The sequence below is a fragment of the Homo sapiens genome, chromosome 5, assembly GCF_000001405.40.
Source record: "Homo sapiens chromosome 5, GRCh38.p14 Primary Assembly".
In the NCBI taxonomy this organism is placed as follows: Eukaryota; Metazoa; Chordata; class Mammalia; order Primates; family Hominidae; genus Homo; species Homo sapiens.
This window is the reverse complement of record NC_000005.10, coordinates 174,032,700-174,059,333: the sequence shown is the minus strand read 5'-3', so window position 1 is coordinate 174,059,333 and position 26,634 is coordinate 174,032,700. Positions and strand designations below refer to the sequence as shown.

At 42.4% G+C, this 26,634-nt stretch overlaps 1 protein-coding gene and 1 pseudogene across 1 annotated transcript in view; one reads left to right on the top strand and one right to left on the bottom strand.

Moving 5' to 3' along the window:
* The window catches only part of NSG2 (neuronal vesicle trafficking associated 2), a 63,474-nt gene extending 49,846 nt beyond the window's left edge, over positions 1–13,628 (bottom strand). The window contains exons 1-2 of the mRNA NM_015980.5: positions 13,491–13,628; positions 12,450–12,600 (exon numbers count right to left, since the gene is read on the bottom strand). Coding sequence (NP_057064.1) covers positions 12,450–12,578 — 129 coding nt within the window. The 5' untranslated portion in view covers positions 12,579–12,600; positions 13,491–13,628. The remainder of the gene's footprint in view (positions 1–12,449; positions 12,601–13,490) is intronic.
* On the top strand, positions 19,112–19,583 carry RPL12P22 (ribosomal protein L12 pseudogene 22; annotated as a pseudogene).

Here is a 26,634-nt window from a genome sequence, read left to right as displayed (position 1 = left end):
GAGAATGGATAAATTGTGGTTTACTCAGAAAATGGAATGCCTCACCGCTATACTACATATACATTGATGAATTTCATAGACATTACATTGAACAAAAGAAATTAGATACCAAGAGGTTTTTATATACTGCGTGATGTCATTTACATCAACTTCAAGTATACATATAATAATTTATATGTATAATATGTTTATCATAAAAATATGCCACTCACCATTTGCAGTCATGGGGTTAGAGGGTACTGAAATTAGGCAGAGTTGGGACCATAACCCTCTCTTCAAATCCATGTCCTGCTTTGCTCTGAACCCTTATGAAATGCTACTTAGGCTTTGAGTGACTTTCTAATGAAAATAGTCCCTTTAGCTTCAGGTCCTCACTCCTCAAACCACAAAGTTCAAATACAGGCCAAGAGACAGGCAGGTGCCTGATACCATGTGGGTCCTCAGTCATCTGCTGTTTTCTTTAGCTAAGCCACATTTTCTCCAAAAGCAACTCAGGCTGCTACACAATATTTTGTCTTCACCCCGAGGAAGTGTTAGCTCTTTGGAACTCCATCTCCATTTCAAAAGGTCTTGGCCTGTTTGCCTGGAACAAATGGACAGTGCTCTGCCTTCATCTTCTTTGACCTCTCAGTCATTTTTGACAAGCTTGTTCTCTCTCTCCTCCTTGAAAGGTTCTCCTCCCTTGGGCCCATGGCAGCCTCTCTCTTGGTTCTGTTGCTGGCTCACCCAGCAGCCCTCCTCCGTCTCCACTCCAGGCTCCTCCTCTTTCTGATCTCTCAGTGTTGGGATTTCTCAAAGCCAGCTCATGACCACTCTTCTTTCCATCTACAAGCCCCCTCTGCATGTTCTCACTCCCATCACTTCCAAGTTCATTGGTTTTTTTGTTTCTTTGTTTGTTTGTTTTTTACAGAGTCTCGCTCTTTTGCCCAGGCTGGAGTGCAGTGGCATGATCTCAGCTCACTGCAACCTCTACCTTTTGGGTTCAAGAAATTCTCCTGTCTCAGCCTCCTGAGTAGTTTGGACTACAGGCATGTGCCACCACACCTGGCTAATCAAGTTCATTGTTTATCCTCATGACTCCCAAATATTTACTTCCACTCAGATATCACTCAACACTCAGATGACCCTACTGAACATTCACCCTTGACCCTCCTGCCCCAGCCACCTCACTCTCAACATCTTCATGCCATGTAATCCCCAACTTAGAAGATAACAGCAGCATTATCCAAACTACTGTTTATGTCAAATCAAACACAGAATCTCTCATGATTCCTCCCTTCCCTTTAGTCTCAAAATTCATTCCATTATTCCACCCATTCCAGCTCCAGCTTCCTCAAAAATTTCCCTTAAATCAACCCACTCATCCAGTTGCACGGCCTCTACCCCAATATAGGACATGGTCATCTCTCTTTGGACCTTTGCCCTGGCCAGCTTCCTTGTTTCCAAACCCAGGGGAAAGATCCCTCTAGATCGAGGGAGAGACAATACCAGCAAACCTTCAGAAGACATCCGGGAGGCCAGCACCTGAGGCAACTACAGAGAAGCAGTTTTAAGTGGCCAGGGAACAGGATGGGTGAGGTGAGTAGGTGACAGGGAGGAAGCTAGAGAGGCACACAGAGGCTCTGAATGCCATGCTAGGCACCTTGAAGATTAATGTGAGGGCAGTGAAGAGCTGAGGAATGATTATAAATGAGAAAACGGCTTTGCAGGTATGCATTTCAGGCACAGGAGAGGCCTCTGGCCACAGTGAAGGTACACTGCATGGGGACCGGCAGAGAGCAGGGAAAATACAACCCTACAAAGTCACTACAACCAGCCAGCTAGAGGACTTTCATAAAGCTTAGTGTTTTGTTCCTGTGGAGTAGAGCCAGAAACATTTCCCTTCCATAAACGATAAAGTCACAGTTCCTTTTTTTTAGTACTCTGAAAGGGAAAGCATTAAGAAATGTTAGCCAATCGTTATTAATTGTACCTTGGAGGAATCAGCTCGCATAGGCAAAGAGAACAAGACAGGAGAAAAATAAATTTGCAAAGAAAGCCTCTCTTCTAGACATTCTTCTTTTTCCCGCAGTTAAAAGAAAATGGAGCAAAACAGAGCCCTGAGCGCCTTGTCTATCAGCAGAAATGAGAGAAGAAAAGTAGAGAGGGGAGGGGCAAAATTTCTCCTACTCTTTTTATTCTTAAAAGTGGGGTTTTATGGATATTTGGAAAAATGAAACTCCAGGTTTTCAAATATGACTGTGGATTTGGGCAAAGAAATAACTTTGTTTTCTTTCCATATTTACACATTGGATCCCCATTGTCCTGTCAGCTGCTAATATGAAGAACATAATTTAATATAATTGGCATTGTGAAAATGGGATAAATTATTCATCCCTAAAGGACCCCTTGTCTGGATATAATTCCCGTGTCACTGGCAAGGCCAGATAATACATGGTGGTTCAGACAGTGCAAAGTACAGATCATAAAAATTTAAAATACTACTTCCCAGGATTATCAATAATGAAGACGTTCCCACATGGAGAGGTCCCAGGATTGGCAGGAACAATAAATACAAGTGCAGAAGTGCTGACAAGGAGCAAGATTGTATTTTTATGAGCTGGACTTGCACAGTCCAAAAATAGATCTAAGCTATACCCATCATCCCTGGAGCAAAGAGACAGGTTCAGAGCCAGGACAATAAATGGCTGGCACTGAATCCCTACTGTGAGCCAGGCACGGTGCCAGGTGCCCTGCTGATGTGGACTCATTCAATTCTCATAATTCTCCTGACAACATTCTCTCCAAGCCTCAGTTCTCTCCTTCAAAATCATTATGATTATTCCCATTTTTCAGGTGAGGAAATTTAGCCTCTGAGAGTTCAGTCGCTTGCCTGTGATCAAATGACTGGCCTCGGGTTGAGCTACATTCAAACTCAAGAATACCATACTCTTTCCTATTGATCATGGTTTTGGGTTTTTTGTAAAGGTACCCACTATGTGCCTGGCACTGTGCCAAACACTTTACATCCTGTATCTCAGCAAATCTTTTCAATCATTCTATGAGGTAAAGGTAATTATTCCCATTTTACAGATAAGGAGCCTGAGTCCCAGAGAGCAGAAATGACTTCATAACTTCACATGGCCACTAGGAGGCAGAGCCCAGACTTGAACCTAAGCTCAGTTCCAAGTGCCACCTAACACTTGAACTCTGATCCTGGGGAACCAAGACACAATAGGGAGGCCATAAAAACTGTGGAATGAATCAGTGAACAAATAAATCCTATTTCTAAAGAGAGAGGGTGAAGTTGCCCAGATGGGGCCTGCATCCTTAGTTGGGAACTTCCCCATTTGCACCTCTCGCTCCTCACTCCACACTCCCTCTTTGGATTCAAGTTTTTTCCTGGGCCTTGAAGGTTGGTATTGGGCCGTGAACACAGGGTAAAATGTCAGTGCTCAAAAGACTTTAGTGGCAGTGTTGTCCAACCTCATCAATTCACAAATAGGGAGACTGAGGCATAGAGCGGGAAAGGGATTTGCCACAGGTCACACAGTAAGACTGAGTCGGAAGCAGGTCTCTAGTATGAATGCCAACTCTCAGTCTGGAGCTCTTTCCATGGAATAAACTTTGTCTTTCTTGCTGGGCCTTTGCTTTGCTTTCTCAGAGGCAATATAAAAGTTGGTCTCAAATGAACTATCTGCCTCAATAAATCTATAACTCCCCACTTACTTTTTTATTTTTATTTTTATTTTTTTGAGACAGAGTCTCGCTCTGTCGCCCAGGCTGGAGTGCGGTGGCGTGATATCTTGGCTCACTGCAAGCTCCACCTCCTGGGTTCACACCATTCTCCTGCCTCAGCCTCCCGAGTAGCTGGGACTATAGGCACCTGCCACCACGCCCAGCTAATTTTTTACATTTTTTTTTTAGTAGAGATGGGGTTTCACCGTGTTAGCCAGGATGGTCTGGATCTCCTGACCTCGTGATCCGCCCACCTCGGCTTCCCAAAGTGCTGGGATTACAGGCATGAGCCACCATGCCCAGCCAACTCCCCACTTCTATGGCAATGCATAGCATGGGGCAAGATGAGGTGCTCTCCACAGGATCCTCTACGGGGGACTTCCAGCTCCTTCTGCTCTGAACAGAGGCAAGCTGCCTAGGCTGGAATCATTACAGTGGAGCCCATAGCTCTGCCACCTGGGTCTTCCACAGTCCAGAGGCCCAGACCATGTCACTGTTCACCTCTCCTTGCTGCCTGGGGTAGCCCTGTGACCTCCGGAAACAGGGAACCTGTTTCTGGGACTAAATAGATCATGTTAAGAACAACAGCAATAATAATTACTCCGTTGCATTAAGCATCTACTACGTACTAGACACTATGATAAACATTTGCTATGTATTTTCCTCATTTTATCTTTACAACAATCCTTAGAGAAAGATACTAGTGTCATGAGGAAACAGAGGGTCAAAGTGGTTAATAAACTCACCCAGGGTCACAGTGCAAGTAGGTGGAGTTAGGATTTGAATTTAAACTGTGCTATTCTGACACCTCCCTGTACAGAGAGACACTGGCTTCACAGTGATCTCCCTGTGTGTCAAAGTGAACAAGTTACATCCATTCCCTGAGACCATTCACTGTCTGTGAAATGGGGGTGATTTTTTTTTAATAGAAAATCTGAGGCCAGGTGTAGTGGCTTACATCTGTAATCCCAGCACTTTGGAAGGCCAAGGCAGAAGGATCAGTTGAGGCCAGAAGTTTGAGACTAGCCTGGGCAACAAGGCCCCGTCTATTAAAAGTCTTTAAAAATCAGCCTGGGTGTGGTAGCATGTGCCTGTAGTCCCAGTTACTTAGGGGACTGAGGCAGGAGGATTGCTTGAGCCCAAGAGTTCGCGACTGCAGGGAGCTATGTACAATCACACCACTACACTCCAGCTTCAGGACGACAGAGAGAGACCTTGTCTCTAAAAACAGATGAATAAAATTCGACGCATTCTTATGGTTAAAAACAAAAAAAGATAAAAAGTATAGAATAAAATTCTTCAAATGGAACGCACCTACCCCAATTCCCATTTCCCTAACATTTAACAGTTTTCTGTGTGTCCTTCCAAAACTGTCTTATGAATTACAAGAATAAAACATGCTCACACTATGTGTGTTTCCCCAAATGGGATCACTCCACACCATTCTCTTTAAAGCTGTTTGGATGAAGCAGTGTGTCTGTTATAGCTTTCCACGCTGGCGCATGCAGATCAGCCTCATTCTCAAAACCTCTGCTTAGGATTCCACATGCGTGTGCCAGAGCTCAGTTAACCAGGCCCTTCTCAGGGAATAGTCCAAGTTGTTCCCAGTTCTTTTCAATATATAGTGGCCTTTGCATACTTGAAATATATACCCATAGGGTAACTTCCTACCAGTGAAAAGCATACCAGTCAAATGCTACCCACAGTTTACATTGTACAGACAATGTCAAAATACCCTCTGAAAAACACTGCATCACATTACATAACCAACAAGAGCAAACTGAGGACAAGTTTGCCCCAGTATTGTCAACATGAGGAAATATCCATTTTTTTGTGCCAATTTGGTAGGTAAAAAAGTATATTTTGTTTAAGATTGTGTTTTTAAATTATAAGGTATTTTTGCTACATTTATTGATCATTAGCTATTTGCTGGATCTGCCTAATCAGAGATGTTGTCCCAATTTGAGATGATTTACAATTCATCTCTTGAGATTCTCTGAAGAACCAGGGGGCTCTAGGGCCTGGAGCCTGCAGTGATGTGCATTTCTGTTGTTCCCTGGGGAAAGCCTATGTTTCTCATATCCTGTGTCTCGGAGAGAAAAAGAAACACTGCGGAAAGCCCAGGGAGAGGCCCAGAAGGCACACAGGCCTCAGTGACAGCCATAGGTCCCCTTTCAGGCCTCCCCTGCAGAGCATCATCAGGCCCCACCCCGCCCCACACCCACCTGTGAAACCCCATCCTTCTCAGCATGCTCCAATTCTGCAGTCTCCTTCTAAACCTATCATCTTCAAGAGACATATTCTGGATGCCCAGTGAAAGAAAGGAAACCCTATCTGTGCTCTCCCTCAGTATGCCTTGCACTGAGCTGGGCCCATTAGACAACTGTCACACTGTTTCCCTCATCAGCACCCTCTGAGGTAGATATTATTGCCTGTTTTAGGGCTGAACAAACTCAAAGCCCAGAGATGCTAAGCAATGTGCCTAAAGCTACACAGTAAGTAAATAGCTTAGCTGAGATTTGAACCCAGGTCTCTAGGACTATGAAGTGCATGTGGCCTACTGTGCAAAATTTAAAGCATGCCATACATTAGTCATTAGTTTCTAAATATCTGTGTTCCTCTCCTCCCACAAGCAGGTAAGTGACCTCCTCCAAGATGCATAAAGACTTAATAATCAATAGAAAGAAAAGAAGCGTTTGCCCAGAGCGCAGCAGCAGACTTGCCGATTATGGTTCCCCTGTGGCTCTGCCAAGGTGGGTTGTGCCTGTCTATGGTTTGCTTTCTGCACACCTGCCACCCTTCCCAGCACACGTGCATGCAGATCTTGGCTGCACTGTTTTCCTTTGATGCACCCTAGGACAGCCTTCCACCTGTCTGAGCCTGTTTCTGCACCTGTAAAATGGGGATTATGGTAGCAACGTCACAGGGCTTGTGGGGACACCTGGGTTATTGTGGCTACTTAGATGAACCAAAGGCAGCAAAGCACCAAAGGCATGTCCTGAAATTTGATGTCTGCAAACTAATGTTCCAGCTTTTCAGGAGCTTGCTCCCATGGCCTGGAGAAAGCCACCTAGATTTGAGTCTATTTCCTCAGCTACCAAGTAGAGAAATTGAGTCCAGTTTTAAGCTAGGCAAGAGAGGGGATCAGCCAGTAATTTCCACTGCCCACTGCAGGCCAGGCCTAAGGCTACCGAGATGACACAGCCTCAGGTCTAGCTGGGGCCTCAGGTCTAGTGGGCAAATGGAGCAGAGAAAGCAAATTCTCCTCCCAATCAACCTGGTACCACATCTCAATACCACTAGCCTCCCCACCCCACTGCCACTGCCCCACTACCCTCTCCTCCCTGAATGTAGTAGTGGCCTTCTAACTGGTGTCAGACCTCCCATTCCTTTCTTCTACTCCCATATCGGGGGTGCTTCAGGCAACTCAGTCACCCCTGTTTTGGGGGACACTAATCTGGTGCTGCGTGGAGGACTGATTGGACAGAAAGAAGTAGAGGAGATCAGAAGACCAAGCATGAGACTGAACCTGTCCCTTGTCCCTAGGGTGGCTCACAGCAATGAGGGCAATCTTCCAAAATCAAACTCTGATCCTGTGACTCTCCTGCTTTAAATACCTTTTGAAAAAAACAAACAATCCACATAAACTGGTACCCACCCCACCTCATCTCTTAAGTCTCTCCCCACCATTTGACATCACCAGCCAATGTGGCCCCCTGATCGTTCCTCCACCCTTCTGAGGGCTCAGTTAGGCCTGCTGCCTGACCACCTTGTCATTATAATTAGGTCCCCTATATGTCTTATCTCTCCTTACATTACAACATCTTGTTCTTTCCTTAATAGCCCTTCTCACAATTTGCATCTATATGCTTTTATGTGTATGATGGATTGTTTGAAGTCTCTCTTTCTCATTGGACTGGAAGCTCCATGAAAGCAGTGGCCAATGCTGTCTTTTCATTGCTGTGTACCTATGGCCTAGCACAGTGCCTGGCTCACAGAGGGTACCCTATAAGACTTGCTGGATGGATGGATGGATGGATGATGAATGGATGGGTAGATGGATGGATGGATTGGTGGATGGATGGATAGATGGACGACGAATGAATGAATAGGTACAACTACAGCTATACTTATCAGTGGTCAAGGAAGGCATTCAGGAGAGGTGCTGTCTGAACTGGGTTTAGAAAGATTAATATTGACATCATACAAGCAAAGGAGCCAGAAGGGCATTCTGGGCAGAAGGAATGGCATGTTCATGGAGGTGAAGGCATGGAACATCCTGGGGAGTATGCAAGACTCTAGGGCAGGGTTTCCCAACCTTGGCGCTGTTGACATTTGGGGCAGGATAATTCTACCCAGGGGCAGGACTGGGGGACTTGGGTGTCCTGTACATTATAGGATATTTAGCACCATTCCTGGCCTCCACCCATAAAATGCCAGTAGAATCCTCCCTCTAGTTGTGACATCGAAAAATGTCTCCAGACATTGCTAACTGCCCCCCAGGGAGAGAGAATCGCCCCCATGGAGCACCGCTGCTGCAGGTAGGTCTGGCACGCTAACATTCGAGGCGCAACGTGGGAGTGAAAGGAATGGAGGCCAGCGCAGGCCAGATGGTGAAAGAGCTGGAGTGGCAAGGTCAAGATTCAGGGATGGGATGTTGTGGGGTGAGGAGATGCAGAAGGTTTCCATGGGAGAAGGACCAAGGCACAGCCCTGGGGAGGCTTGGGGGCAGTGTGGAGGCTTGGCGGCAGTGAGTCGCATGAAAGGGAGAAGAGGCAGGAGGCAACTCAGGAGCCTGCTGCTCTTCCCTGAGGCAAACACCAGTCTCTCCAGCACCAGGCAGGGAGAGAGCACTGGGGCCTCTGGTGTTCTGTCTGGGGGACCAGTCCAGGTCCCTTCCAGGTCCAGGAGCCTGCCAGGGGGAGGGCTCAAGGGGCAGCCATGGATGAGGAAGCCTAGAGTTTGAGGAAGCACTCTCCCAGAATGAGAGACTTCTTACTGAAGGCAGTGCAATGCAGAAAAAAAAAGTTGGAACATCAAGTACACTGAGGTTCCAACCCTAGCCCTTCCACTCTTCATCTGTAAAGTTTAGGCAGGCCACTATATTGTCCTGAGCCTCAGTTTCCTCATGAGTGAAATGGGTGCACTGAGATCCACCTCACAAGGCTACTGGGAAGATTAACTGAAATAACCTGAATGCCCTGCATAGTCCCCTCCCTGGCCTGGAACAAGTCTTCAGACACGTTCCACGAGAGGACTCCAGCTAGCCTCCAGAAGCTGTTCTCTTGAAATTCAGATTTCATACTACTAAAGGATACTTAGAATACTGATTTTCAGTATTACAAGCATACTCTGTATTTTACATTTTCAAAAAGAAAAGCCATGATCTGACATTGGGGTCAAATATCCTTCTTTGTGATAACCATCTTAGCTTCAAGTACTCACCATCTGACTGGAGCCTAACCAAAGGGCTGACAGCTGACAGCTGTGTCAGGGCTCACTCTGCCTCCTCTACAAAAGTCCTGTGAGTGAGTCCCAAAATTAGCGTCCCCATTCTATACACTAGAAGACTGATGCTGAGGCAACTTAAGAAACTACCCTCCAAGTTCTTAGCCAAAGCAGGCTGGTAAGAGTTGGAGTGGGATTTGAACCCACCTAAAGAGGTGGCTTCAGAGTCCTTGCTGGTCATCTGGACACTATTCTAAGCATTTAGAGGACCTTTGGCTTCTTGAGCAAAATTTACTTTGAACACATCTGTTCTCATGTCAGGGAAACAATGTAATTACTCTTGTAAAGATTCTAAAATCTAAATATTAGCACAGAAAACTGATAATACAATTTTCCACTCAGAGAACACAGACCTAAGAGAGGGGAATGGAGCGCACTGTGGGTCAGTGGCTGAGGTTGAGCCACAGACCACACCTGGGGACTCCCAGGCTGGCTCACTCCTCATTCCTGCTGAGGTAGAAGGTTCTGGAACAGCACTGCCTGGGCTCTATGTCCAGGATGCTTTCCCAGCTATTTGCTATGGGGAACTACTTTACCACTCTGTGTCTCAGCTTCTGTAAAATTCAGACCAAAGTAGTGACTCCCTCACTGGGGCCTATTAATTCCTGAGAAGAAGAAAGAAAATTGCACACATGTGTGAGTGATTGTGTGTGTGTGTGTGTGCACGTGCGCGTGCACATATAGCTTAGAATTTAGGAAGCACTTGAAAAATGGTGACGCTATTCTCTTGTAGTTTGTTTTTTTGTTTGTTTGTTTGTTTGTTTGTTTTGAGACAGTGTCTCGCTCTGTCGCCCAGGCTGGAGTGCAGTGGCACAATCTCAGCTCACTGCAAGCTCTGCCTCCCAGGTTCACGCCATTCTCCTGCCTCAGCCTCCCAAGTAGCTGGGACTACAGGCACCCACCACCACGCCCGGCTAATTTTTTTGTATTTTTAGTAGAGACGCGGTTTCACCGTGTTCGCCAGGATGGTCTCGATCTCCTGACCTTGTGATCCGCCCGCCTCAGCCTCCCAAAGTGCTGGGATTACAGGCATGAGCCACCATGCCCAGCCTCTTGCGGTTTTTTTTTACCAGGCACTTTACGTATAATGCCACATCTAACTTTGTTCTGACCATTGTGAGGTAGATGTGATCCTCCCCATATCAAAAAAACAGGAAACTGAGGCCACCCTGGTGAAAGACTGTGTGATGACAATCAGAGTGTCAAACTGGGTGCCCTGGATCTTTCAGGATAATTGGCTTCACGTTGCATGCATGCAGGCCCACTATGAGAGACAATGCATTATCCTTCAGGCTTTGGGACAGCTTCTGGTGCACCTGGACTGGATACTCAGTGGTTATCAGACCTGCCTCCTCTCTCAAGGAAAGAATAAAGCCCTGGGAGGTGGGTGGGAGAGTAAGGGGGGACAGAGACCATGATAATCTCTAGATGACCTGCAGGCATGTAGAAGGCTAGGGGAGAGATGACCTCACCACAATCCCTTTTCTTTTCACACTTCTTAAAGACATGCAGATCTGCAAGGCTATAGCTGTTGGCCTCATAAAGCCCCAAGAGAATATCTCTCCCTTCTCCTACCCAACCTCTACTTATATCTGGGTTCAAACTCCAACATTTCTACTTACTCCTTCTGTGAGCTTGGATAACTCACCAAATTTTCATCTACAAATATGAATGAATAATCCCTGACTCCCAGGTTAATGCACACCTAAAACAATGGTCCTCAACTTTGGCTGCATGCAGGAGCCACCTGGGAGATTTCATTCATATTAATGCCTGGGTCTCACTCTCAGAGACTCTGATACAATTGTTCTGGGTCATGGTCTAGAAAGCAGGAGTTTCAAAATCTCCCCAGGTGATTCTAATATGCAGTTCAAAACCAAGAAGCTCTGATATACATGTAGCACATACTCTATTAATATTGCCCCTTCTCATCTCTTTAGTGTTAGTTGCCTGTTCAGAATTTATCTTTAAAGGCTTTACCAGTTCCTTAGGATGGCACTTAAGAATTCTCTCTGTCTGCCACCCCACCCCTGCACGTTCTCCTATTGACAATCTCTGCACTTTCAAAACAAATGATTCAACCTCTGGCCAATCAGCAGCCCCTTTATCTAGCTTTGGCTCCTCTTCTGTTGATTGGTTGAAGCCAATTGGTTAAGACACACAATGCCCTCCTGCAGATGCCAATGGGAAATCAAACAGATGGAATGATCCATTGTTCGCTCTTAAGCCAGGGAACTCCATCATTGGCCTCCAAGTCTCTCCCTTACCGTGTACAAAAGCTCACATAATAAAACCCCAGGTTGTCTCAGGTGGACCTGAAATGATACTATTTCTCCCTTCTGTGTCCATAACCCCCATCCCACCTTTGTGTGAATGCCCACCTCCATTCTTCATGGACTACTCCCATGTCAGGAGATGTGCCATCAGCCAGTCACTCATTTCCAGCCACGCCTCCCCAAAAGACACTCTCCTGCAGTCATGCTGCTCCCCTAAAGCTCTCCATGCTTTGCATATGTGTGCCCTTTGCCTTAAAAATGCCTTCCCTTCCCCACTCCATGGTCTGCCAGGAAGGGTTTTTACTCACCTTTAAAAGCCCAATTCAAATGCTCTCCTCTGCAGTTTGCCTAACCTGTCTTCTCAGTCCCATTCCCAAACCTTCTCCACCCCAATAGAATTTAGTTGTTTCCACCTGTGCACCCTCACAATCTTTGTAATGCTCAGGTATAACATTTACCAGGATGAATTAATCTGTCATACTAGAAAAGGATTTTGTAATTTTGTCTTTTTATAACCAACTCCTAGTATAGGGACAGGGCCTTAGCAGGTACAAACTGAATGCTTGTTTGAGTGAATCCAATCCTCTGTCCTCAAATCTATACCTGTCAATTTTTGAAAGACCTTCCCAAAATAATCAAGATGAATTTTCTGTCACCACCTAGAAGCTTATTAGTATTCACCAGCTGTAAGAAAACTTTAACAAGGAAAGATCAATTTGCTTGCCCATTTATGCAGATATGAACAAAAAATGAATAAACACTTACCATAAATCTGAAATAACACAAGAGATGTCTTGGCTCTGGAAGGAATAACTACATTTTACAAGAAAGGGAGCACATTTGGCAGATAAGAGAATGAAAGGATTTGGGGGGTGGAATTTTTTGCTGCTTTATTTCCTGAGATGGGGGGAGCCTGGGGGCTGATGAGAGCAAGAGGACATGCTTTACCTTTTCTGGAGCAGGCAGCTGTAAGTGATTAACCTCCAAGGGAGTGATGAGAGGGACGGTCTGGAAGCCATCCTCAACTGAAGGCGGCTTGGTTCCCTTCTCGCTGGGGTTACTGTTCAGCTTCACCATCCTTACGCCTTTCTTCCCAGACCTAAGGCAAGCAGTGGGATTCTGGTTACAGCAGGAGGTGAGGCAGAAAGAGAGGGCTGACGACAGAGAAAATAGCACTGTCCTCAACAGCTCCACTCAAGTGGCTTTCAATCTAGTGATCAGTCATTGATCTTCCACTAGATTTCCAGACATGATTCCCATTGTCCAACAAAACTTCTTTAATCATCAAAATATGCCACCTTCCCATGGGGTTCAACAGCACTCAAATTTAAGGAATTCAAGGAAAATCCTAAACCTATACACACAAAAAATATAAGTGTAAAACAAATACCCAAGACACTAGAGCTAAAGTGCTCACACAATGCCAGTAAAAAGATTATACTTAGTGCAAAATGAAGTCCTATTATACCACCCCCCCCGCCTGCAGTATGATAAATTTCACCTCACCACTCTGGTTGCTATTCTATTATGTTGGTTTTCCATCAGCAATACCCTAAAACACAATAAATACATTCAACGTCTCAATGTGTACCCTGTTACATCATATGTGGATTGTACATGAGGTGCAATTTCCTAAAATAAAAACAAACAAAAAAAAGGCTAGCTTGAACCTGATCCTGTTATTCAGCCATGGAATGCCTCCATTTCCTCAATAGCGAAGGGCCATTTTTTTTTTTTTTTGGTTCCATGGAAAGTTAGCAGCCCCCATATTGCAGGATTGCCAACTAAATAAACAAATCACATTTATTCATCTCCAGATCCCTTAGAAGTCAAATGGTGCTCCCCTCCCACCCCCAGAAGCTCAACACAACTGAATTTCTTCTCTCAATCCTGCTGATGGAACGTTTAGACAAAACAGGGTTGTTGTGGGGGTGAAAGGGGTTGGAGGATATTGGGGAGTGGTTATAGCAAAAACAAATGCCTACTTACTGTGCTGCACTCGTGGGGGGTCAGAGCAGATTCAAGCCAATTTGAAGAGGAGGAGGACGGCCAGGAGTCCTCCCTCCTCAGCCCGAGCTTGTGGTGCTGAAAGGACAGCGCCTCGCGTGTGTCTGGATCGGAGCTTCTGAGAGCAGGCGTGAGCGAGCAGGGAAGAGCTCCTGGCAGCTGCCTGCCTGCTTGCTCGCTCGCGCCCCCTCCTACCGGGGAACGCGCTCCCACACCATCTGTCATCTGGCACCACCTGCTGTTTCTTATGCATGGCCACAACCACTGCACGGGACAAAATGGTTTCAAGAAAGTGGGAAGGATTTTGGCCACACCAAAAAAATAATTAATATGCACCATATAACAAGTAATCCTTGAGCCTTTGGAAAAACTGGAAAAGCAGGCACATTCATTAGGAGAGGGCATTGCCTCCTAAGACCTTCCAGAACAATATCATAAAACACAGAATGGTTCAAGACCTCTACTGTGCTCTGACCCTGTGGTCAGGACAGAAGGGAAATATATTTATTGTGTATCTTTCATGCAGTGGGCACTTTTCCAGCCTCTTTCAGACTATCTCCCTCATTTGCAAAATGGTGTTTCTAATAGTACACACATGATGGGGTTAGTACAAAGCATGAAATGGGATAGCATAGGGAATGCATGTAGTACAGAGCAGGGACTATGGCAAGCACTGTATTCACATGAGCTACTACACTCAACATTGCACTGTGATCATACAGGGCAGCCACGGTAACCAGAGCTGGAATTTGAACCCTGATCGGTGGCCACCAAAATTTGTATCCAGCCCAGGACATTGCATGGCTTCCAAGTTGGTGCCTGGAATCAGACAGGGCAAAGTCCTAGTGTCTGCTCTACCAAATTCTGGCTGTATGGATTTTGGACATTTTGCATTTATTCTTTAAACCTCCATTTCCTTTTCTCTGGCGTAAGAATAATAATATCTCTCTTGCAGAGCGATTGTAAATATGAGAAGAGATTGTGCTCAAGGAAACCCCTTATTGCTCAGGAGAGCGATTGTAAATATGAGAAGAGATTGTGCTCAAGGAAACCCCTTACTGCTCAGGGACAAGGTTCTGAATGGCTGCATTATTTCATCCCCGGGGATTGCTCACAGATTCTCTTCAAATCCTCTGAGGTCAAGGCTGTTGCCACTGTCTTCACCAAGCTGTGGTTCAAGTCACTGATGGTTGTTCATTCCCAGCTGCAGTGCTGCTTATGATGCACTTCATGAGGCCCAGCTGTCTTGGCATTTGTCATAGGGTCCCCTTTTGCTTTCAAAAGTATTCTAGTTTATGTGATAAATTGTTAGGTCACCCTAGTTAGTGCTCATGTGCTGAGCATACACTCTGCTAGCTAAAAGGTCAGGAGAAAACGTAAGTATTATATATATTGTTCAGTAATGAAACGTGTGGGGGGGGGGGACACGTGTGTGGAGAGACAGAGAGAGAGACATTTTCTGAGACAACAAAAGCTAGCACATCTGAGCTGCACAGGGCTATATTAATAGAAGTAGGCAGATACATAATATGGGAGTGTCCCAGTAAATGTTAGTCCTCCATTCTCTTCTTTCCAAAGACCTAGATGAGTTTTCAGGTGCAATCATTGTGACAACACAATGTGGATAACCACGTGGAGTCAATTGTGAACCCTTGTGTTTAATCTTTTTCCTCCAGAGGAAAAAGAAATTCCTTTTGACATGTCTTGTGATTGATTCACACATAGAAATCACACTTTTAATAATTTCAAGCCAAGCTTCTGCACAGCAAAGGAAATAATTAACAGACTAAAGAGACAACCTACAAAATGGAAGAAAATATCTGCAAACTATGCATCTGACCAGGGGTTAATACCCAGAATATATAAGAAACTCAAACAACAGCCAAAAAACAAAAATCTGATTTAAAAATTGGCAGCCGGGAGCAGTGGCTCATGCCTGTAATCCCAGCACTTTGGGAGGCCAAGGCAGGTGGATCACAAGGTCAGGAGTTCGAGACCAGCCTGACCAACATGGTGAAATCCCGTCTCTACTAAAAATACAAAAATTAGCCAGGCATGGTGGCGCATGCCTGTAATCCTAACTACTTGGGAGGCTGAGGCAGGAGAATCACTTGAACCTGTGAGGCACAGGTTGCAGTGAGCTGAGATCATGCCACTGCACTCCAGCCTGGGCGACAGAGCGAGACTCTGTCTCAAAAAAAAAAAAAAAATGGCAAAATACCTGAATAGACATTTCTCTAAAGAAGACATACAAATTGCTAACATGTGTATGAAAAAGGGCTCAATGTCTCTAATCATCAGGGAAATGCAAATCAAAACTACAATGAGATATCACCTCACCCTAGTTACAATGGCTATCATTAAAAGACAAAAATAACAAATGCCATCATGAACGTGGAGAAAGGGGAACTATTATACACTGTTAGTGCGAATGTAAATTAGTACAGCCATCATGAAGAACAGTATGGAGGATCCTCCAAATTTAAAAATAGAACTACCATATGATACAGCAATTCCACTACTGGATGTTCATCTAAAGGAAGGGAAATCAGTATGTCAAAGAGATATTTGTACTTTTCATGTTTACGACAGCACTGTTCACAATAGCCAATATATGGACTCAACCCAAGTGTGCAATCGACAAATAAATGGATAAAGAAAAGGTGATATATAGATACACAATGGAATACTATTCAGCCACAAAAAATAACTTCTGTCATTTGTGGCTACATGGATGAACCTGGACATTCTGTAAAATGAAATAAGCCAGGCACGGAAGGATAAATACTGCACAATCTCACTAATGTGAAATCTTAAAACAAAAAACAAAAAGTTAATCTCATAGTAGTAGAGAGTAGAATAGTGCTTAGCAGTGGCTGGAGATAGTAGGGAGTGGGGAAGAAGGGGAAGAGATTGGTCCAGGGGTACAAAGTTACTGTTAGACAGGAAGAATAAATACTGCCGTTACCTTATTCCTTCTATATAATCAAAATTTTGTATCCTTTGACCAATGTCTTCCCCCTACCCCCAGTCTCTGGTAACCACCATCTCTTCTCTACTTCTAAGTTCAACTTTTTTAGTTCCCACCTGTAAGTGAGACTACATGATATTTGTCTTTCTGTGCCTGGCTCATTTCTTTTATTATTATTATTATTATTATACTTTAAGTTCTAGGGTACATGTGCACAACGTGCAGGTTTGTTACATATGTATACATGTGCCATGTTGGTGTGCTGCACCCATTAACTTGTCATTTACATTAGGTATATCTCCTAATGCTATCCCTCCCCCCTCCCCCCACCCCACGACAGGCCCTGGTGTGTGATGTTCCCCGTCCTGTGTCCAAGTGTTCTCATTGTTCAATTCCCACCTATGAGTGAGAACATGCAGTGTTTGGTTTTTTGTCCTTGCGATAGTTTGCTGAGAATGATGATTTCCATCTTCATCCATGTCCCTACGAAAGACATATTATCTTTAAAAATTAGCAAGGAAAAAAAGTGAGAGTAAACAAATACAAGTTGTCACACTTATTGTTGTTATCTGTGACACTGACTTTTAAAAAGGAGGAGAAAATATTGTCCATAATATTGGCTACTGTATAATGTGGACCCATTGCTTAAGGGACCTATATATTCATTTTTTATGTATTCGTTAGTTCTGTAATAAACATACAGTACCCGCTATATGGCAGATAACCAGGGATATGCATTATGAACAAGATGGGAACATAATAATTCTGGAAGGAAAATATTACTAACCCCATTTTATAGAAGAGACAACTGAGACTCAAAGGGGTTAAATAACTTATATAACATTATATGTGTGAATCCTTTCCATCAATAAAACTTCTTTGGTTAATGAGAACCCAATAAAGTGAGGACTGTGCCTGTTTTGTTCACCGTGTATATCCAGCATGTCACCTATTGCCAAGTAAAGAGAAGGTGTTCAATAAATATTTTTAAATAAAAAAAAAAATCTGCTTTTACACTGCACAGTAGGGTAACTATGGTTAACAATATTGTATTGTATATTTTAAAAGAGCTAAAAGAATTTTGAATGTTCTCATACAAAGAGATGATAAATAAATGAGATGAACATGCAAAATACCCTGATTTTGTCACTGTAGAATGTATACATGTATCAGCCAGGCACGGTGGCTCACACCTGTAATCCCAGCACTTTAGGAGGCTGAAGCAGGGGGATCACCTGAGGTCAGGAATTCAAGACCAGCCCAGTCAACATGGTGAAACCCTGTCTCTACTAAAAATACAAAAATTAGCCAGGCTTAGTGGCAGGTGCCTATAATCCCAGCTACTCGGAAGGCTGAGGCAGGAGACTCACTTGGACCTGGGAAGTGGAGATTGCAGGGAGTAGAGATCATGCCACTGAACTCTAGCCTGGGTAACAGAGCAAGGCTCTGTCTCAAAAAAAAAAAAAAAAAAAAAAGAATGTATACATGTATCAAAACATCACACCATCCTCCATACATATGTACAATTATTATGTGTTAATTAAAAGCAAAATTTCAAAAAATAATTTCAAGCCAGTTGTATTGAGTTTAGTAAGGTCCAAGCCTATCTCAAGGCAGTGGGAAATTCAGGTCTCCTGATATGTGAGGCCAGGAGAGAAGCTGCAGGAAGAAACAGAAGGCTGAAGTGATATGGGAAATTTTCTCCTGGTTGGCGAGGTCCTATTTTTTCTTCTTCCAGCTATTTTGAAATATACAATAGATTTTTATAAATCATAGTTACTCTACTGTGAGGGGTTCTTAATACAATAGACCATTATAGTATAATAGACTATTTTTCTGCTATGTAATGATCTTTTTTTTAAGAGACAAGGTCTCGTTCTGTCACCCCCACTGGAGTGCAATGGCACAATCCTATTATAGATCACTGCAGCTTCAAACTTCTGGCCTCAAGTGATCCTTCTGCCTTGGCCTCCCAAAGCACTGGGATTATAGGCATGAGCCACCTATGCCTGGCCTGGATTTCTTTAAAATATGTTTGTAGTTGAAAACAAAAATTATAACATCTTCTGATGAGGTATTCAATGTATGTAGAGTAATATATAAGACAACTGCAATACAAAGAATTGAGGCTAAAGGGACCAATATGGTGGGAATGTTTCTATATTCTACTTGAAGTGGCAAAAGTAGGCAAAGCTAAATTTTTCTATTGTTATCTCTAGGGCAAACAAAAATATACAAAGAGATATAGTCAAAATGCAATAGATCAAGTGGGATACAAAAAAAGTTCCAAAAGAAGGCAGAAACGGAAAAGGAGAGGAACAAAAAAAATTAGGGGGCAGAAGAAAACAAATGATGAAACAGTAGACTTCAAACATACCAGTAATTACATTAAATGTTTAAGTGGGCTAAACAAGCTAATTAAAAAGTTTGTCAAAATGGAGAAAAAACACAAACCAAATATATGCTGTCAACAAGAAATTCACTTCAAATATAAAAATATAAGTAGATTCAAAGTAAAAGTATGGACTCTGGGCTTTCAGCTCAGAGGAAAACAAAGTGCAACCTTCTTCTGCCATGCAGCATCTGATTTCATATAACACCAGCCGCCTCTTCCATGCCATCCAGGTTCAAGCACACCAAAATCAAAGTTGTATACCTGAGGGACGCTGGTGGGGAAATCAGTGTCATGCCTGCCCTGACCCCTGAGATCAACTCCATGGACCTGTCTCCAAATAAATGTTGGTAATGACATTGCCAAGAAAGCTAGTGACTGGAAGACCCTAAGGATTACAGTGAAATGAACCATTCAGAACATGCAGGCCCAGATTGAGGATTCTGCCTCTGCACTATCATCAAAGTTCTCCAAGAATCGCTCTGTGACAGAAAACAGCAAAAAAAACAGTAAGCAGAGTGGAAATATCATTTTTGTTGCAATTGTCAGCATTTCCCAATGCAGCACTGATATTTAGCTAGAGAACTCTCTGGAACCCTTAAAGAGCTCCTGGAGACTGCCCACCAACTGGTGGACTGCACTATTGATGGCTACCACACTCCGCATCATAGATGACATCAACAATGGCATAGTGGAATGTCCAGCTAGTTAACAACTACAAAGGAAAATATTTAAATGAATGATCATTTGACAACAACAACAAACAAAAAAACAGTAAAAGGATGAAACAAGATACACCAATGTAACACTGACCAAAAGAAAGCTGGAGTAGCTATATTAATATCAAACAAACAATCCAGAGCAAAGAAGAGAGAGATAAAGAGGGACATTACACATGATAAAAGGTCAATTCACTAAGAACACAAAACAGTCCTAAATGCGTATGAACCTAATAACAAAGCTTCAAAACGCATGGACCAAAACCTGACAGAACTAAAAAGAGAAACAGACAAAACCACAATTATAGTTGGAAACTTCAATACTTCTCTCTCTTTAATTGACTGTTAGGGCAAACAGAAAATTCAGGAATATTAACATTTTAGACTGGATAATTATGGTGAGAGTTGTGGGGTAAGGCTCTTCTGTGTATTGTAGGATGCTTAGCAGCATCTCTGGTTTCTACCTACCAGGTGCCAGCAGCATCCCCTCCTAAGCTGTGATTATCAAAAATGTCTCCAGATACTGACAAATGTCCCCTGGGGGAAGTGGGGGAAAATCATTCTCAGTCGAGAACCACTGCTATAGGAGAACAGAACATCATCAATTAACTGGATCTAACTGACATTTATAGAATAATTCACCCAAAACAGAAGAATAAACATTTATTTTTAGTGCACATTAAACACATACCAAGATAGACCATATCCTGAGTTATAAAACAAACCTGAAAAAAATTTAAAATTGAGATAATACAAAAAAACTGTTCTCTGACTATAATGGAATTAGACCAAAAATCAATGACAGAATAGTAACAGGAAAGTCTCCAAACAGAAGTTAAACAACATTGTTCGAAACAATTCATATATCAAAAAGAAAGTCTCAAGAAAAATAAGAAAATATTTTGAACGGAACAAAAATGAAAATATAAGATATCAAAATTTGGGGAGTGCAGCTTTAGTAGTAATGAGAGATAAATTTGCAGTGTTAAATGTGTGTATTATAAAAGAGGAAAGATTTCAAATAAATAATCTAACCTTTCACACAGATAAGAAGAGCAAAATAAACCCAAAGCAAACAGAAGGAAAGAGATAATAAACAGCAGAAATCAATATAATTGAAAACAGAAAAACAATGGAGCAAATCAACAAAGGCAAAAGTTGGTTCTTTAAAAAGATTAGTAAATTTGGCTGGGCAGAGTGGCTCATGTCTATAATCCCAGAACCTTGGAAGGCCAAGGCAGGAGGATCACTTGAGCCCAGGAGTTCTAGATGAGCCTGGGCACCATAGTGAGACCCCATCTCTACAAAAAATTTAAAAATTAGTTAGGCATGGCGGCACATACTTGTAGTCCCAGCTACTCAGGAGGCTGAAGCGGGAGAATCACTCAAGCCAGAGAAGTCGAGGCTGCAGTGAGCTATGATAGAGCTACTGCACTCCAGCCTAGGTGACAGAGCAAAACTCTTGTTTCAAAAGAATTAAAATTTAAATTTAAAAATTAGTAATTTTGATACACCTCTAGAAAGACTGACAAAGAGAAAAGACAGAACACACAAATTACTAATCTCGTGAATGAAAGGCGCTAACACTACAGAGCATGAAGGCATTAAAAGGATAATAAGAGACTACTACAAACAATGCTATGTACATAAATTTGATAAAGTAGATTAAATCGGTCAATTTCTCAAAAACCATAAACTAGCAAAACTTACTGAAGATGAAATGATAATCTGAATGATAATCTTAACTATTAAGGGAATTGAATTTGTAGTAATTTTCCCCCAAAAAGGAATCTTCAAACCAGACAGTTTCACTGTGGGAACACACATTTAAAAAAAAAGTTCTATACAATCTCTTCTAGAAAACAGAAGAAGAGATAAACAGTTCCCAATTTATTCTATGAGGACAGCATTACTCTCATACCAAAACCAAAGACAGTACAAGACAAGAAAAATACAGGCCAATATGCCTCATGAATGTAGGTGCAAAATTTTTCAACAAAATATTAGAAAATCAAATCCAGCAACACACAAAAAGAATAATACACCATGGGCTTTATCCTAGGAGTAAAATTGATGAAGAGAAAAACATTTAATAAAATTTATGTCCATTCACAATTCTCAGCAAACTTGGAACAAAATGAAACTAAGCTTGATAAAGGACATCTTAAAAATAAGATAAAACTTGGCCAAGCATAATGGCTCATGCCTGTAATCACAGCACTTTGGGAGGCAGAGGTGGGAGGATTGCTTGAGGCCAGGAGTTTGAAACCAGCCTAAGCAACATAGTGAGATCCCCATCTCTGCAAAAAATTTTAAAATTAGCATTATGTTTTACTTAATGGTAAAAGACAAAATGCCTTCCTCCTAATATCTGAAACAAAGCAACACTCTCACCACTCTTACTTAGAAGTGTACTAGCCAGTGCAATGAAGCAAGAAAAATTAATAAGAGGCATACGGATTGGAGAGGAAGAAATAAAACTATCCTTATTTGTAGAGAACATAATTGCTTGCATTAAAAAAAACAAGAGATCTATTTTTTAAATACCTTGAACCAATTTAGCATGTGGGTTAACATTCATGAATATATGAATGTGCACAAATTAATCAATCATATTTCTATGTATCAGAAATGAATAATTAGAAATCAAAATGTTTTTTACAATACCATTTACAATAGTTCCCCAAAATAAAAAACCTTGGTATAAATCTAGCAAAATACATACAGGATCTGTATAGTGAAAATTACAAAATGCTTATGAAGTATCTTAAAGGCCTAAGTAATTGAAGAATACCAAGTTCACTAATTGGACATTCAACATAGTAATGATGTCGAATCCATAAACATTGATCTATGAGTTAATTTTCAATTCTAACCTCTGGCAGAAATTTTTGTAGGTAAGGTTATTCCAAAATACATATAGAAAGGCAAAATAACTATAATAACCAAAACAATTATTTTTAAAAAGTAAATAAAATTGAAAGAATCACACTATCCAATTTTAAGACTTACTATAAAGCTATAGTATTTTATACAGAACTGTAAAGGCAATGGGCTAGACATATAGATTAATAGGAGAGATGAGAGAGCACAAAAATAGACCCACACAAATATGGCCAATGGATTTTTGGCAATAGCGCAAATGCAATTCAATGGAGAAAAGATGGTCTTTTTAAAATGATGCTGAATAATGAGCTTTGACCTAAACCTCATATCTTATATAAATATAGGCTACACATCTAAAAGTGAAATATGAAACTGTAAAATGTTTAGAATAAATCATAGGAAAAAATACTTCACGTCCTAGTGTTAGGCAAATAGTTCATACACTTGACACCAAGTGCAAAATCTATAAAAGATAAGATTGATAAATTGGGGTTCATCAAACTTTAAGATTTTTGTTTTGCCAAAGACACTGTTAAGAAAAAATAAAAAGACAAGCTATAGACTTGGAGAAAATATTTGCAAATGTACCTGACAACAGACTTGTATTCAGAATACATAAAGAACTCTCATAATTTGACAATAAAAAAAACAAACAAACAAAAAGTGGGCAAAAATATTGACTGGATACATCATCAAAGAGTATGAATAGATAGCAAATAAGCACATTAAAGGATGTTCAAAATCATTAGCATTACGGTCCTGGAGATCACATAATTAATTTAATCAGCCTTTGTGTGAATGAATCTATTAGATTCCTTCCCAAGAGCTCATTTTCACAGGGAAGGAAATGGAGCATGATTAAATGGAAGAAACAAATTAAAAAAAAAAAAAAAGGAAGGGTAGGCAGGGCCAAGATGGCTGACTAGCAGTGGTTGGAGGCTCACACTGAGGAGAACCAAAACAGCTGAGAATCCTGCACTGGCAAGCAAGGTATCCATATTCTAGCATCAGGACTGACTAGGTGGTTGGCATGACCCACAGATAAAAATGAAAAGCAAAGTGGTGTGTTGGCCCACCTGAGAGCTACACAGGGCAAGGGGAATCCTCACCCCCAGCCAAGGAAGGAGGTGAGTGAGCATGCTACCCAGCCTGGGAAACTGTGCTTTTTCCACAGATCTGTGCAACCCCAAATCAGAAGATCCCACTTGAGAGCCCATGCCACCAGGGCCTTGGGTCCTAACCACAGAGCCACACAGATTCTCAACAGCCACTCAGCTGGAATCTACCTAAGTCTACCAAGTTCCCGGGGCGAGGGTCGGCAGCCATTACTGCAGCTGCTAGCTGCCTAAGACACTGAACTCCCAGGGCTGGAGAGAAGGGCGGCAGCCATCACTATAGCTCCAGTGATTTTTCCCTACTGGAGCTGAGGAGACTGGATTGCTTGGTCCCAAGAAGTATTTCCCACAGCGCAGCACACTGACTGTTGCAGACCATGGCCAGACTGCCTCCTTAGGCTGGACACTGACACATTCCTCCTCACTGGGCAGGGCCTCCCTGCAGGAACTCCAGCAACTCTAGCCAGGGTTTTAGGGACAGAGATCTGATCTCCCTGGGCCTGAGCCTCTAGAAGGAGGGTTGGCCATGGTCTCCATGGACCAGTAGACTTAATCTTTCTTCCTGCTAGTTCTGAGGAATCCAGGCAGCTCAGATGAGTGGGTTTCTCCCCTAATGCAGCACTATCCCTCCACCAAGGGACAGCCAAAGTGCTTTGTTAAATGGGTCCTGGTTCCCATGCCCCCCAACTGGGTGAGACCCCATAACAGGGGTTGCCAGACACCCTATACAGGAGCATTCCTACTGGTATCAGGTTGGTGCCTCTCAAGGTCAGAGATCCCAGAGAAAACGCCAGCACCCATCTTTGCTGTTCTCCAGCTGCCTCGGGTGACATCTCCAGGTATGGAAGATACCCAGATGAATAGGGCCTGAAGTGAACCCCCGGAAAACTGCAGCAGCCCTACAGAAAAGGGACCTGACTACTGAAAGAAAAACAAACAAACAGAAAGCAACAAGAACAGCATCAACAAAAATCATCCCCACAAAAATCTCATCCAAAGGTCAGCAGCCTCAAAGATCGAAACTAGGCAAACTCATGAAGGTGAGAAAGAATCTACATAAAAACACTGAAAATTAAAAGGCCAGATCATTCTCCTCCAAATGATTGCAACGTCTCCCCAGCAAGGGCTCAGAACTGGATGGAGGATGAGATGGATGAATTGACAGAAGTAGGCTTCAGACAGTGGGTAATAACAAACTTCGCTGAGGTAAAGGAACATGTTTTAACCCAATGCAAAGAAGGCAAAACCCATGATAAAAGGTTACAGGAGCTGCTAACTAGAATAGCCAGTTCAGAGAGAAACATAAATGACCTGATGGAGCTGAAAAACACAGCACGAGAACTTTGTGATGCAAACACAAGTATGAAAAGCTGAATCAATCAAGTGGAAGAAAGAATGTCAGATATTGAAGACTATTTTGCTGAATTAAGGCAGGCAGACAAGATTAGAGAAAAAAGAATGAAGAGGAATGAACAAAACCTCCGACAACTATGGGACTATGTAAAAAGACCAAACCTATGACTGATAGGAGTACCTGAAAGAGACGGGAGAATGGAACCAAGTTAGAAAACACACTTCATGATATCATCCAGGAAAACTTCCCCAACCTAGCAAGACAGGCCAACATTCAAATTCAGGAAATACAGAGAACCCCAGTAGGATACTCCATGAGAAGATCAACCCCAAGATACATAATTATCAGATTCTCCAAGGTTGAAATGCAGGAAAAAATGTTAAGGGCAGCAAGAGAGAAAGGCCAGATCACCTACGAAGGGAAGCCCGTCAGACTAACAACAGCAGACCTCTCAGAAGAAACCCTACAAGCCAGAAGAGAGTGAGGGCCGATATTCAACATTCTTAAAGAAAAAAATTTTCAACCCAAATTTCATATCCAGCCAAACTAAGCTTCCTAAACAAAGGAGAAATAAAATACTTGTTAGACAAGCAAATGCTGAGTGAATTTGTCACCACTAGGCCTGCCTTGCAAGAGCTCCTGAAGGAAGCACTAAATATGGAAAGGAAAAACTGGTACCTGCCACTGCAAAAACACACTGAAATACAAAGACCAATGGCACAGTGAAGAAACTGCATCAACTAGTGTGCAAAATAACTACTAGTATCCTGATGACAGGATCAAATTCACACATAACAATATTAACCTTAAATGTAAATGGGCTAAATGCCCCAATTGAAAGACACAGACTGGCAAACTGAATAAAGAGTCAAGACCCATTGGTGTGCTGTATTCAAGAGGCCCATCTCATATGCAAAGACATACATAGGCTCAAAATAAAGGGATGGAGAGAAATTTACCAAGCTAATGAAAAGCAGGAAAATGCAGAAGTTGCAATCCTAGTTTCCGACAAAACAGACTTTAAACCAACAAAGATCAAAAAAGACAAAGAAGGGCATTACATAATGATAAAGGGATCAATTCAACAAGAAGGGCTAACTATCCTAAATACATATGCACCCAATGCCGAAGAACCCAGATTCATAAAACAAGTTCTTAGAAACCTACAAAGAGACTTAGACTCCCACACAGTAATAGCGGGAGACTTTAACACCCCACTGTCACTATTAGATCATCGAGACAAAAAATTGACAAGGATATTCAGGACTTGAACTCAGCTCTTGATCAAGTAAACCTAATAGATATCTACAGAACTCTCCACTCCAAAACAACAGAATATACATTCTTCTCAGTGCCACATGGCACTTACTCTGTAATTAATCACATAATTGGAAGTAAAACACTCCTCAGCAAATGTAAAAGAACTGAAATCATAACAAGCAGTCACTCAGACCACAGTGCAATCAAATTAGAACTCAAGATTAAGAAACTCACTCAAAACCACACAACTACATGGATATTGAAAAACCTGCTCCTGAATGACTCCTGGGTAAATAATGAAATTAAAGCAGAAATCAAGAAGTTCTTTGAAATCAATGAGAACAAAGAGACAACATACCAAAATCTCTGGGATGCAGCTAAAGCAGTGTTAAGAGGGAAATTTATAGCACTAAATGCCCACATCAGAAA